General features: G+C 47.5%; 1 protein-coding gene across 14 annotated transcripts in view; it reads left to right on the top strand.

Annotated features, from left to right (window-relative positions):
* The window catches only part of KIAA0753, a 62,565-nt gene extending 56,668 nt beyond the window's left edge, over window positions 1–5,897 (top strand). For 12 of the 14 annotated variants that reach the window (NR_147086.2, NR_147087.2, NR_147088.2 and 9 more), the window contains one exon: window positions 4,180–5,897. Coding sequence is in view for 11 of the 14 variants with exons in the window: in NM_014804.3 (NP_055619.2) it covers window positions 4,180–4,297 (118 nt within the window). In the remaining 3 variants the exon portion in view is untranslated. The remainder of the gene's footprint in view (window positions 1–4,179) is intronic. The other 2 variants (XM_047437193.1, XM_011524096.3) reach the window with 1 other exon arrangement.

Below are 14,676 nucleotides of genomic sequence, written 5' to 3'. Positions count from 1 at the left end.
TCAGGGACTCCACTCAGCTCCAAATTATCTCAGATTGGATTGAGGTGATTCTAGATTGTTACTGCCCCACAGGCACCATGCATTAGAAAACATAAATTTTCTCTGGAGGAAAATAACATCATCTTAGAAATCAATTTATTTCTACGACTGTTGAATACATTGTCTAGTATATGGTGAAAAATAACCAGGCAACAGAGGGACAAGACAATACCAAGAACAGACCTACGGCAGATACAAACATTAGAGCTATCAGACACAGACATTAAAATAACTGTGCCTAGTGCATTCATAGAAATAAAAGACATGAATTAGAACTTTGGCATAGAACTGGGAACTAAACAAAATCCAAATGGACATTCTAGAATGAAAGATAAAGTTTCTGAAATGAAGAATTCATTGGTTGGGCTCAATAGCAAATTAGACACAACAGAAGAAAATATTAGAGACTTGGAACATAGGACAGAAGAAAATATCCAGAGTGATTCCCGGAGACACACAAAAAAAGACGAAAAGTGAAGAAGAGAGGGAAAGGGACATAGAGGAGGTAAGAAGGTCTAACGTGTTGTTGGAATCTCAGGTCAGGAGAGAGAGAAAACGAGTCACAAACAACATCCCAAGAGATAATGGCCATCACTTCCCCAGAGTAGCAAAAGACATCAAGCCGTAGATTCAAGAAGCTCCAAAAACCCCAAGCAAGGAAAATAAAAAGAAATCCATACTCAATATTGCTGAAAAATCACAGATAGAGAAAATCTTAAAATCGGCTGGAGGAAGAAAAATCAAGATAAACAAAAACAGTGGAAACTGGAAGACCTGGCATCTTTTAAAATTCCAAACGAAAAGAACTACCAGTCTGGAGTTCTAAGCCCAGTGAAAGATACATCAAAAGGCAAGGTGAGAAAAGAGTTTCTTAACAAAGCTGAATTAGCAGTAGACCTTCACTGTAGGAAATATTAAAAAGGGTATTTTGGGGGAAGAAAGAAAACAGTCACAGATGGAAGGTCAGAAATATAGGGAGGCATGAATTTTAAAAATAGGTAAATAGGTAGGTTAAAGTGAATATTGGCTGTATGAAACAATACTGATGTTTTATGGATGCGTGTGTATGTGTACTCACACGTTTAAAATATACAGTAACAATAGTATGTAAGAATATAAGTCAGGAAGGGAATAGAGTTCGTATTCTAAGGTTCTTGCATTGTATGGGAAAAAAGGTAAGAATATCAATTAATGTTAGACGTCAAGTCATGGATACTTGTTGTAATCCAGGGTGGCCACTTAAAGAATCATAAAAGTGTGTGTAATGTCCAAGTCAATAGAGAAGAGCAAATGTAGTTTAAAAATTACAAAATCTAAAGGAAACCAAGAAAGAAGAGAGAACAAAGAGACAAATATAGAAAATGCCTATTATTTTAGAAGCATAAACTCAAATCAGAATAACATTAAATGAAAAAGGACCTTACATGCCAATTAAAAGACAAAAGATTGTCAGATTAGCGAAAAAACAAAAACTGGGTGGGAATGGGGTAGAAGGAATAGGAGAGGGGGAGTGAAACTTATCTGCATTTACCATTTTTGTGTAACTCTGACTTTTGAAACCATGTTAATGTTTCTTATACATCCCCTTAGTCAACAGGGATGGGGCGGGGGCCTTAAGTCGAATACAAACAGAAACATGAACTTAACTGTATTTCAAATAAATAATATAATCATATTAACGGCATGAAGCCTAAATAACTTTTGAACACAGTATGTTGACTCTTTACCTCTGGCTAAAGACAAAAAGAACTGTAAACACATAACTGGATTCTAGTTTGTAGGTTTCTTTTATACAGTGACATGGGTTAACAGTTGAAAACTATTTTCTCTATATTTTAGGATTGGTCAAATAAGTAAGTACATTGTGAATAATGGGAGCAAGGTTTCTAGGGGAAGGCTGGGATGAATATATGGTTTTTTATAGACGTAGAAATAGATACAGGGTGTTTCTTAGTTTGTCTGCTGAGAAGGCCCAGAAGCAGAGGTGCCAGTAGCAGTGAGCACACCCAGTACCCACATCTTGGTTTCTAAATACCGTTCTCCATGAAGAGGCACCAGATGAAGAGGCACGAGGGCTTCTTGGAAGAATGGCTGACTATAAGCCTGGGGCTGGAAAAATGTAAGATAAGCCTCAGACATACTGTGCTAGAAAGGAAGTGCTCAAAGAAAGATGGGGACATGTCGAGAGTTCACAGGAGTTCCCAAGAGGCACCTACGGGCCAAATCCAGGACATTTTCAAGCATCGAAATATGTAATAATAGTAATGGATTACAAACTATACAATAAAATAAAAATCTATAAGGCCAAACTGATAGGAATGAATACATAAGTAAAAGACAAGGGAAAGCTTTCATTACAGTAGAATGCCAGCTATTAAATGGAGAAGAAGTGATGGAAGTAGAAAATCCGTGTTTGGCAACCCTGTAATAATTGATTTAGGCGAATTTCATGAGAAACAGGAGTTTACATAGTCTCAAAGTATCTCCCTCCACTATACCTATTAATTACAAAGGGGAAAACAGTAACTTTACAAGGGAGAAACCTGGCAGACATCACCGTAACCCAGTGATGCAAAATTAACTGACATCATTAATGGATATCAAATAGATATCATGGTGCACTGAAGGGACACACTATCCTTCTGTGGCATCTCTTTCAAAACCGTATGTCCTGAATCTGATCATAAGGAAAAAACCCAAATTGAGGGATATTCTCCCCACCCCCCCAAAAAAAGGCTTTTATTCTTTAAAAAATGTTAAGGTCATGAGAGGCAAAGAAAGACTGAAGGACTATTAGATTACAGTAGACTAAAGAGCTGTGACAACAAAATGCGACATGGAATCCCAGACTGGAACCTTGGACTAGCAAAAAATTTCTTTTGAAGGAAATTATTTGGATGGTTGGCAAAATTTGAATAAGGCCTGTAGATAGATAGGCCTGTAGAATAGATACTAGTTTTGTATCAATGTTAATTTTATAATTGTTATAATTGTACCATAGTTATTTAAGAGAATGTCCTTGTTTGTAGGGCTACTTGGGAGATACGAAGCTTGCGCCGTTCAGAAAATGAAGGTGTGTGTGTGTGTGTGTGTGTGTGTGTGTGTACAGAGGAGCACCCGTGCAGAGTCCCCTAGTGTCCTCCCCCGTCTCCTACAGAGAAGGCACACCCCTTCCTCCGTCGGCCGGTCAGGCAGCTGTTAGAGGTGGGGCTAGGTTGCAGCTGGTTAGTTTCTGGTCGCCTCTGGTTTCAAACACATTGAGGATGAAGTCCATCCTGTGTATGTTTTAGGCCTGTCCCTCTAGCAGGACTTTGGGATCTAAGCACCACCATCCTTCTGTCTAGGAGAGCAGGGCCTCTCACCTTGTTTTTCTTCTTCAAAAGTATCTTGGCCGGGCACAGTGGCTCATGCCTGTAATCCCAGCACTTTGGGAGGCCAAGGCAGGCGGATCACGAGGTCAGGAGATTGAGACCATCCTGGCTAACATGGTGAAACCCCATCTCTACTAAAAAAATACAAAAAATTAGCCAGGCGTGGTGGCGGGCTCCTGTAGTCCCAGCTACTCAGGAGGCTGAGGCAGGAGAATGGTGTGAACCCGGGAGGCGGAGCTTGCAGTGAGCCGAGATGGTGCCACTGCACTCCAGCCTGGGCAACAGAGCGAGACTCCGTCTCAAAAAAAAAAAAAAAAGTATCTTGGCTGTTCTTGGCCTTCTGAATTTCCATTTAGATTTCAGAATTGACTTGTTAATTTCCACAGCTGAGTAAAAGAATGGCTCCCATATATGGCTGTACATACCTTTATTTTATTTTATTTATTTTGAGACGGAATCTCACTCTGTTGCCCAGGCTGGAGTGCAGTGGTGTGATCTCTGCTCACTGCAATCTCCACCTCCCAGGTTCAAGCGATTCTCCTGCCTCAGCCTCCTGAGTAACAGGGTTTATAGGTGTGCATGCCACCACGCCCGGCTAATTTTATGTATTTTTAGTAGAGACCGGGTTTCACCATGTTGGCCAGGCTGGTCTCAAACTCCTGACCTCAGGTGATCTGTCCATCTTGGCCTCCCAAAGTGCTGGGATGACAGGTGTGAGCCACCGCGCCTGGCCTTGTACATACCTTTAGTTGTGTTGTTTGTCTTCCAGCTTTTCAGAAGAGCTGGTAGATGAAGCTCTGGGTGCTGTGGCTGCTGAACTTCAGGATATGTGCGAAGATTATGCAGAAGCTGTGTTCACCTCAGAATTCTTAGAGGCTGCTACATAAAGGCTCTCTGAGGCGAGGCCATTTGTGTCACACTGGAGAAGGGATGGCACCACCCTTTGTTTTGGCCCACAGGAAATTTTCATCCTCAGCTGTCCATCCAGGCCCAGAAGGTGCTGCCCACTGAAAGGAAGGCAGTGCCGGGGAGGTCATCCTCACTTTGCATTTTCTTTTGTCATGGCAATGGTTCTGGAAATGTATGATGCAATGTATCACACTTATCAGTGCCCAGGCAACACAACTTGATTATGGCAATATTTTCAGAATGTGTACTTTTCCTATTGAAATACCATGTTCATTCCTCTGGCTCAGTTTGGTGATGAAAATGTTTTGAAAGATAATCGATACGTATATTTCACACAAGGATTCAGGTTGCTGTTGAACCCTTGCTGGCATTGATACCAACACAAGTGCGGCTACTAGCTGGTCCCATCACGGGGCCCCTGTTTTGCATCTTTGGCGATTTCCTGTCAGGACCTCTGGCCCTACTAGGCTGTAGACTCAGGGAGAGCACAGTCTGGCTGTGCTGCCAAACCTCTCCTCTGCTGCAGTTTATTCCAAACAGGAGCCCCCTGGCTGTCAGTGCACAATAATAGACACACATTTCTTCAACGTTCCATTCCTAGGTGATTTTCACATTTTTAGTTCCTCAGCATATTTTATTGCTGTGTGTTGACACAATCTGGTATAAAAAACTTTCTCTGGATTCAGAGGAAGTTTGAGGAATCAGGAGAGGACCAGGCCTTCTCCTGTGCCTGGGTGAAGGTACAGACCTCGCTGTGTCTCCGATGAGGTCAGAAGTGTCTCTATTTCATACCACAAAGGAACCCAAGTGGGAGTAGGGAACAGATGGATGGCGCGAAGACCTCTGTGTCTCCCCAGAGAAAGGAAGAAACTTAAGAACCATCATAGCCTGGTCCTCCAACATCTTACAGATCATGTTTTCCAAGAGAAAAGCCTGTGTTTTCAGAAACTCTGAATTCAGAAAAAGAAACGGAATGTGCGTAAGAATCAGGCCACTGCCTGGAAAGACTTTCTCTCAATTCGTAGCCTGAGGCTCAGTGAAGGAAACATGCAGAAAGAATGCCTGAGACGCCCCCAGGGAATAAGGGAACTCTTTATAACCTGTCCAGTGCCGTCATCTGGGATTTTTCTCTGAAGTACAAGAATTTCAGGTGATTTAAGCTGCTTGATCACACTTATTTGTGCAAAATTGATTTTCATTTAATGTTAATGTTTTCCTGCTTAATTTTATATAACTTCAGAATGTAAAGAGCTTCAAGGTAAATTACAGGGTGTTTAACCTGGGGAGTTAAATGTGTACACTTGAATTAATAGGAGCACCGGTTGTTGCTAGTATAAAGTAATTTGTGTGGCAGTTTGTACTGTGCTGAGTTTTTAAAATAAACCCAATATTTTAAAGTATGTGCCTATTTTAAATAACTTACATCTCCTTTTTTTCCCACAGGCAAAGTGAAATGTGATTTACAGAAACCACTGAGAATACTTTTATATGTGATATGACTATAGTGGATTATTTGCCACCCCTTCCCCCCGAGAAAAAAATTAGTGACAATAAAAGCTAACATTTATTGAGCACCTACTAGAGCATTGCTCTCCGTGCTTGCCATGTAGTAACTTATTTAATCCTCACCTCATCTCTGTGAGGTGGAGAGCATCATTGTTCCCATTGTATAGATGAATAAAACGAGGCACAGGAGGAGATAATTTGACCAAACAAACTTGGAGTTTACCTGAGCTCATCTTCCTGCCTTTCCCTATCCCCACTCGGCGTGTGCTGGGGCAGTCCCATTCTCACACTTCCTGTTGCAGCTTGTGTCCTGAAAGGCCGAGCCCAGGCTTTGCCTTGTTTCAGGATCTTCCCACTCTCTCCTGCTCCTCCCACCAGGTGGATCTGCCTTTCTCTGACTCATGTGGGTGGAGCTTCAACCAGCCCCAGTGTCCAGGTGTCAACTTTATATCCCTGGCCCATCGCAAACATCCACAGCCAGAGCATTCTCCAAAGACACAAAAATATACTGCAAGAAATAAACATTTTTCTTTGCAAATGGAAGCTAAATCCTTAGAATATAAAAGTTCCCGTTTATCGCCTCGCAGCCAGCCCAGACATCTAGAATTTTTTGTTCTTCATGAACAAGGGCTGACCGTACATCATTCTGTAATTCCCTTCAGCTTTCTCACGAACTATTCGTGTACTATTTCAGAAGCAGAAACACACGAGTTCAGTGTTTTTGTGTTGCATACGCCGTCCCCAGTGTACAGAGACATGAAAATGCACTCCGAGCGCTCCACCGGCACAGCTTGGTCACACGGGATTTCTGTCTGTTTCTGTGCTTACCTCTAGTCTGTTTAGCTCCTTGAGGGCAGGGACCCTGCCTAGCTTGTAGTTGGTGCTCAGTAAATTCTTCTGAATTAATGAAAGGTGAAGGGCAGGCTGATTGACTTTATACGGGGGGGTCTGTCACATCTCATATAGTCCACAGAAATCTATGATGTCCTTTTGTGACCCCGAGATAGAATGCCATTTGAGAACTATAATTCCATCTTGGAGGTACTGCTGCCATTGCAATTCCAGCTCAGATGGCAAGAACTTGCTTCCTTCCTCCTAGAGCAGGGCATGGGCCTCAGCCTCATGCTGCTCCTGACCTTGAGCGAGCCTTGGTCAGGGTGCTCCTGGGGACTAAGCTGGGGCGGCCCAGGGACTGGAGAAGAAGACAGAAGGATGTGCATGGGAGCCCCTTGCCTCTTGTGTTCTGTTACTATTTCAGCACTGTGGTCCCTTCTCCCTCTGCCCGCCGGAGCTGGGGTTTGGAGGAGAGATGGTGAGGAGAGAAGCGCTTTCCTCACTCCACTTCCTCCCTGGGCTCACGGTTCCTGCTTTCCTGAAGGTGGTCCGAGTGTGTTTGTGTGTGTGTGTGTTGGGGGAGTGGGGGAGGTGGAGGCATGAACTGCACTGTGGCCAGTGGGTCTGAAAGGCAGAAGGAAGGGCCTGAGGGAAGCCCCAGGGCCAACAGCAAGAGGAAGGGTCCAAGTCAGAAAGTCCCCTGTGCTCTCTGTGACAGTGTAGGTTTCCATCACGCTTCTGTGTTTCTGAGAGGAGCTCTCTTTATTTTAGCAACGTGAGACAGTAGTGAGAATTCCCTGCAGAGCCTGTAAATTCAGGGGTGTCCACATCATCATGGGCTTATGATCACCACAGAAGTGACCTTTGGGAGGGGCCAGCCTGTGAAAGGGCTCCTGGTTCTCTGGGCTCTTGAAGAGCAGCAGAAGGGCAGTGGCCTTGCCCCACTGAGCTCCATTAGTTCAGGAGCCGAGATCTCAGATCTGTTTCCACACTGGCATGTTGACTGAGTCCAATAACGTGGGCCTGGATTGGAGGGGCTTCCACCTGACATCCTGTGTACTTCCTATCAGTCCTCAGTAAGGGCCCCAGGAAATCCCAGATAGGGACCCTGGGCTGGTTGTCAGGCCCAAGTGAACTCAGGCAACAGACCCAGCAGGATCATTCCCCGACCTGGAGTGCACAGCTGGCTTCCGGAGTCAGGGCTCCCCTCCCGGTTCAGCTCCAGTGCTGGGTTCCCCTCTTGCCAGCCTGTCCAGGACCTTGCTCCACCTTCCCCAGTCTTCTCCCCAAGCCTGCACCTGCCTTCCCAGATGACCCCTTTATCCTTTATTTGCTGCTTTCCCTAGAGTCCCCTTGGCTGTTCTTGACCTCATATACCTGGAAATCCTTTCCTTGAACCAGACCTGCAGGCTTTTACTATTTTCCCTGGCTCGCTTTCCATCCATCCAACTGGACTTCTGCCTGTGGCCTGGAGTTAGGTCCATCCGTTCCCACCACTAAGGCTGCCTTCCAGCCCCCCACCTTGTCACAGCTGGCTACTCCCCTTGAGGAGTCCAAGCCACTCGCATGTGCTGTCCTCTCTCTCCCTGGTGGTGTCATTCCCCATGACACTCTGGGTCTCATAGTTTTATCTCTCCCTCCACTCATTCCAACACCTCAAAATCCTTTCTGGAGAACCTTCAAAGGTCTTACCCAGTCGTTTCTGGGGCACTTTTACCCCAAAGAGCACCCTTAAATACTATCTCAGCTGAGACCCCGTCCACCTCCATGTCCTCTAAAACCCCTTCTGGTCACTGCTGTCCCTTTGCTTTCACTGCAGCCCTCCACCCCGTCCCCTTTTACCCTCCCGACTGGGGATCTCTCCTCTTGTGTTGCTCTGCGGCCTCCTCCACCCCCACACTTCCTCTCTGCCTGCCCCGCTGAACTTAGTCATGCGTTTCCCTTCTGGTCGGCTTGGCTCCCCAGAATCTCCCACCCACACATCGTTCCTCTGTCTTCACTGTGGGTCTTGGTGAGGTCAGCCTAAGGCCTCTCACTCCTGGCCTGCAGAGCCCTGCAGAAGGTCACCGTGCCTGTGTCCCGGAAGCCCACAGCACATTCCTGCCACCTGCCACAGGGAGGCCCTCAGTGCTCCGAGATAGCTCTATCCATGCCTGGCAAGTCTTGTGGACTGGGGAGAATTCTAGGGAGACTTCCGGCTCTGAAATGCCGCGATCACGAGGGGCAGGAGCATTCAGATCCCAGACATGTCGGCTCTGCCATCTGCCCTGCAGCCCCAGTGGTCCCTAAGCCTGAGCTGAATTTGACCGAGGAAGCCCTCAGCGGACACTGATTTCTCGAGTGCATACAGGAAGCAGGGAGTCCAGGGAGCCGTGGAGATCAAACTGGCCACCAAACTTGTGCAGCCACCGTCCTGTGTGGCCCTAAAGACCTCCCGGGGGAGAGTGGCATCTCCAGGGCCAGGCTCAATAAGAGATTTGGCTTTTCTTAACCATAATTAGCCAACACATTGCTTCTGGAGAGTTACTAGAGGTCAAAAAAGTTCCCTGAATGCTTTGAACAACAGCTCACGTATTAGCTGGCACTTTACAATTTATAAAATGCATTTACATATATTCTTTCCTTACATCACTATAACCACTCCTGTTTTGTATACCAACAGTAGTTCAGCTCATTAAGAATTCGAGCCACAAGTTAAATTCCTGTGTGATTTTCATGCCTTGGTTTCCTAATAGGTGAAATGGGGATGAAAAAATAGCACCCACCCAAGGTTTTTGTGAGGATTAAGGGAAATGCCCATGAAACCACTTAGAATAACGCTGAGCAGACAGTAAGTGCTCAATAAATGTTACCTATTAGACTCCCCACTGAGAACCTCGTAAGAGGGAACCTTTCAGCTTGTCGCGCAGGCTTGGTTCCGAAGTGTGTCCCTGGCCTCCTTCCACCCATTGCACTCTCTCTCCTGCTCACAATCCTGTGTCTTTCCTTGCCTCACCTGTCACACTAGACACTCGGCAACACTTTTCCTGGCCTGGCCTTTGGCTGCTCTGAGTCACATACACATCTGGCTTCCCCCTCCAGCTGGTCCGCCTGGGCTGCCTCAGTGGACGCCCTTGCTCTAGGGCTTCCGGTGCCACCAGAAGTTTCTAAACTGGACCGCGTCCTTATGGGGTAGTTGAAGTATTAGCCCCATTTTACAGACGAAGAAACTGAGGTTTGTAGAAATTAAGGGGCTTGCTCCGTGTCATGCAGACATGGGGACAGGGCCAGAACTCAACCTGGGTCCTCTGACTTCAAGTCTAGTAGCCTTTCCATTCTGCCACACAGTTTGATCTTTCTCCCAAGTAGATGATTTTTAGATGGCTTAGGAAATCTTAGCAGATGTCAAACATAAGGGCAGTCTCCATTTTTTAAAAAATCAGCAAATATTTTCTATGGTCCCGCTCTTCGCCAGGCACAGTGGTGCTTAGTTCTGGGCATATAAAGAGGACTGAGATGTCTTGCTTCATTTTCTTTTTCTTTTCTTTTCTTTTCTTTTCTTTTTTTTTTTTTTTTTTTTTTTTGAGACAGTCTCGCTCTGTCCTCCAGGCTGGAGTGCAATGGCACAATCTCAGCTCACTGCAACCTCCGCCTCCTGGTTTCAAGTGATTCTCCTGCCTCTGCCTCCCACGTAGCTGGGATTACAGGCGCCTACTATGCCCTTGCTTCACTTTCTAACATGGCCCAGCACAGTGACCAGGTCAGAGCTGAGCTGCAGCCTCAGTTTCTAGCCACTCCATCAGGGTCTGCTTTCCTGAGCCCCTACACTCCTGCTGGGGCTGGAAACCCCGCCCACAGAGTAGCGATCACCCCACTGCTTGGGTGCTATGTCCTAGGTGCTTTATTTATATCACCTCATCTGAATCTCACACTAGCATTGAAATACAGAGTATCATCCCATTTTACAGATGAAACAGAAACCAAGCAAAGTGCAGATTTTCCCATCTGGAAAGTGGTTGTCACCGGGTCTCGTTATGGATTTGATATTCTTCCCAGCATACTGTAGTGCTGCTCCCTGGACCCTGGCATCCAGCCTGCCGCTGGCCAGGCCCCCGTCTCAGAGTCTTCTGCCAGGAGCTGGGGCTCTGCTCTGAAGGCACAAGTCAGGCAGCGGCCGCATGCTGTGCTGTGGTCTCACCTGTGGCCTTGCCCGCCTGTGCCAGCTGACTGTGAATTGGATGTGCCAGTACCAGCCCTAGCCTGGGCTGTCTCTGGGCCGGCTGTGCCCATGCAGTGCTGTTCCCCAGGTGACTTTCTGCTGCACCCAGGCCAGCCTCCACAAAGCCAGCATCCCCCGCGCTCCTGTCTAGTTTCCTCACCTGCCTCCCAAAGGCAGCATTCTCAGGCAGCCTCTCCCCACATGGTGGCAAAAATGGGCCCAGCAGCCTCAGCCTGATGTTCTCTCTATTTAGCAATCACAGCAGAAAAGAAGAGCCCGTGATCCCCAAGAGAGCAAGCCAATGCCCCTGGGTTACTGGTCTCTGCCTCTGATTGGCCCACCTTGAGTAACAAGCCCATCTCCCGTCGAATCCCTATGCTCTGATTGGTCAAATGGGAGTCATATGTCCACCCCCGGAAAAGGGGATGGATCAGCATCATCTCAGCTACAGGGACTGAACGTGGGGCAGGCAGCTCCTCCGAGGAAGATGGGGGCCCTGTTACCTGAAGCGGAGGGAGTTGACACTGGACAGGCACAAACTGCCACTGCACATATAAAAAGCAGCGCGCCTGGTCATAGACAGTTTTCAATTTGCATTACCATTCATGTAAGGTTCACTACATACTACAGAAATGCAAAGAGAGGCCGGGCGTGGTGGCTCATGCCTGTCATCTCCGCACTTTGGGAGGCCGAGGCGGATGGATTACTTGAGGTCAGGAGTTCGAGACCAGCCTGGCCAACATGGTGAAACCCCGTCTCTACTAAAAATACAAAAATTAGCCTGGCATGGTGGTGCACGCCTGTAGTCCCAGCTACTCAGGAGACTGAGGCAGGAGAATCACTTGAATCTGGGAGGCGGAGCTTGCAGTGAGTCTAGATCATGCCACTGCACTCCAGCCTGTGTGACAGAGTGAGACTCTGTCTCAAAAAAAAAAAAAAAAAAAAAGAAAAAAGAAAAAGAAAAAAAGAAAAAAGAAACACAAAGAGAGTTTAGACACAGACCTTTTCAAAGCAGAATAAAAACAAAGCAGGAGGAGAGGGAAGCTAGCGTACTGTGGTTGTACATTGCAAGGGGCGATTCACTGTTACTGAGTGAGGGTTGTGGTTTTGATGGTCTTCATGGAGGAGGTGGCTTTGAATTAGGCCTTGAAAGATAGTTGACGCTTTTCCAAAGCGTGAAGTCTTGAAAGTGGGGGACATAGGTGTGAACACAGTGCGATTAGACAGCAAAGGTGCTGGCGGTATTTACCAGAGCCGAGAGGTCCACACTGCCATCTCAGCCCTACGCAGGTGAGCAGGAGAGCACCCTGTACCCCAGGAGGCTGAATGCATTGGAGGCACTGAGGAGTGGCCTCAACAGCTCATTACTCCACCGGGCAAAGAATTTCATCCAGCTTCAAGAAGATGCTGTTGAGTAGGAATAGACAGCTTCCCCCATCCTGTCCTCCCTCCCTCCCTTTGAAAGCAAGACTTACCTCGGATTGCCCTTGCTCACGCTTTCTAATCTTTATTCTGTTTCTAAATGGGGGAGTCTACCGGGACCCCCAGGCCCTTGTCAAGTGCTCCATCTGTATTTAATCAATCCCTCCTCTGAAATCCAATCCGTCATAAATTCCAGCCGCACAATAAATGTGTAGAGAGGTCTGCAGGCATGGGCTTTTATAGTCAAAGAGAAACAGAATTGGTGCCCAAATGATTGAATGGAGAACAATGGGACTCCGAGAGAGGTGCGTGCAGGAGGGGCAAATATCGGAGGGCGAGTGGCTGTGCCTGGAGAGCCTGCTGTTCTTGGCCTGAGTGTGTGCCCTCCCAGCAAGGCGGGCATGTCCTCTGCCGGCCTCCCCGCATTTATTAGCCCTTGGTAATGGATTTTATATCTGCTCAGTGTGATGAAGGAGTCTTGGCAGTCCTCAGAGACCTGCAGAGTCTCCTCCCAGCCCTCCAATGAGAAGCCGGCAGCCTTCGTCACCCTTGTAGGTGGCTCTCTGGCCAACATTTACTTTAATGTCAAAAAGAAATCCCAGGCATGGGATTTGAAACAGACGCGGGGCCAACAGGGTGGCTGGGTCTTTGCGAGGACAATCTGGGCAGGGCCTGGGGGCCTGGGCTCTTTCTCTCCATGTTGATCGTGGTGTAGCCTCTGGAGGGGCACGTAGTGGGCTCCCCATTCCGGGCTGGGGCCTCGGACTGGCATGCATCACTTGTGACCTGCAGCATGTGTGACAGAGGCCGCCTGGGCATGAGGGCGGGGGCTGCTGGCTTGGCCGCCAAAGCTTTTAATTAACTCAGATAATTGTTCACAGCTTTAGGCATGAAAGCCCCAGGCTCCTCACACTGACTTAGGGGGCCTGTTTCCCATCGGAACAAAGGAATTGACTAAAACTGGAGTTCTTGCTATTTTGAAGGGTCAGGACCCCTTTATAAACCTGGACAATGCTGTGGACCCTTTCTTCAATAAAGACACACACATAGGGGCCGGGCGAGGTGGCTCACGCCTGTAATCCCAGCACTTTGGGAGGCCGAGGCGGGTGGATCACGAGGTCAGGAGCTCGAGACCAGCCTGGCCAACATGGTGAAACCCCGTCTCTACTAAAAATACAAAAATTTGCCAGGCATGGTGGCGCGTGCCTGTAGTCCCAGCTACTCGGGAGGCTGAGGCAGGAGAATGACTTGAACCCAGGAGGCGGAGGTTGAAGTGAGCCGAGATCGCGCCACTGTGCTCCAGCCGGGGCGACAGAGCGAGACTCCATCTCAAAAAAAAACAAACAAACAACAACAACAAAAACAAAAACAACTATCTAGAACAGTTCATGTACCTAGCAGTGTCCTTGTCACAATACACTTTCCGATCTCCGAGGCAGGCAGAGGCTTTACTACCCCTTTTTCTGTGAATGAGAGCAAAAACCCAGAGTGGAAACAGGTCTCACAGGAAATCAGAAGCAAAACTGGGACTAGGCCTACGGTCCTCTGATTCCCAGTCTGGTGCTCTCTTTTGATGCATGAAAAAAACCCCAAACAAACCAAAACAGAAAACCTCATCCCCCCACCCCAGGAATGTCCAATAACTCTTCCCCTCTGTGTACGGAGGGGAGCAGAAATCCACTTCCCCAAGTGGAGCCTCACTGCATCTTAGGCTCAGAAGGCTTTTGTTAAGTATTACTTTCTACAGCTTGAAATAGAATGTCAAGAAATAGAACTCTGAAAATCATGGTTGTTCTTACTTCCCAAGTATGAAATATTGCAATGTCGAAACATTGGAAAGCACACAGCCTGCAGCAGCCCCAACAGGAAAGCACTACGGGAGGACCAGCAGCCTCTTCCTCCCTGGGAGGCGGGGAGGGATCAATCTGGGAGACCCCCCAGCCCCTTCTGTGCAGTTTCCTGCAGAGGATGCTCTCACGTCCTCATGCCGGGAGGAGTGCCCATCACAGGTGGCCGAAAAGTCCCTCGCTCACACACCCCTAAACAAAGGCAGCTGCACCCTTCTGAAGGTTTCTGGAACCCTTAACTTTGGCTGGGGTCTCGGGGTGAGCTCTGGGGGGATTGCTGGGTAGGTGTGATGACACAGCCCCTGCTGTTGAAGTCATTTGGAATTCATGATGCAATCCCTCATGAGAATTGTCCAACCCTCAGAAGTCTATTGCACTCTCTATGCCCTTGGAATATGGTTATGTGGATACAGGGTCCTGCCTCCCAAGATAGGACCCTTCAATCTTTGTCTCCCACACCTGGAAGCTGGGGCATGCATGTCCCAGGCTTGGCTAATCATGCTTGGCTGGAATGAGTGATTCAAAACTGATGTTTCTTTATAACCCACTC

Source organism: Homo sapiens, chromosome 17, assembly GCF_000001405.40.
Source record: "Homo sapiens chromosome 17, GRCh38.p14 Primary Assembly".
Taxonomy (NCBI): Eukaryota; Metazoa; Chordata; class Mammalia; order Primates; family Hominidae; genus Homo; species Homo sapiens.
Note: the sequence above shows the minus strand (reverse complement) of the source record. Positions and strands in the feature narration are given on the sequence as shown.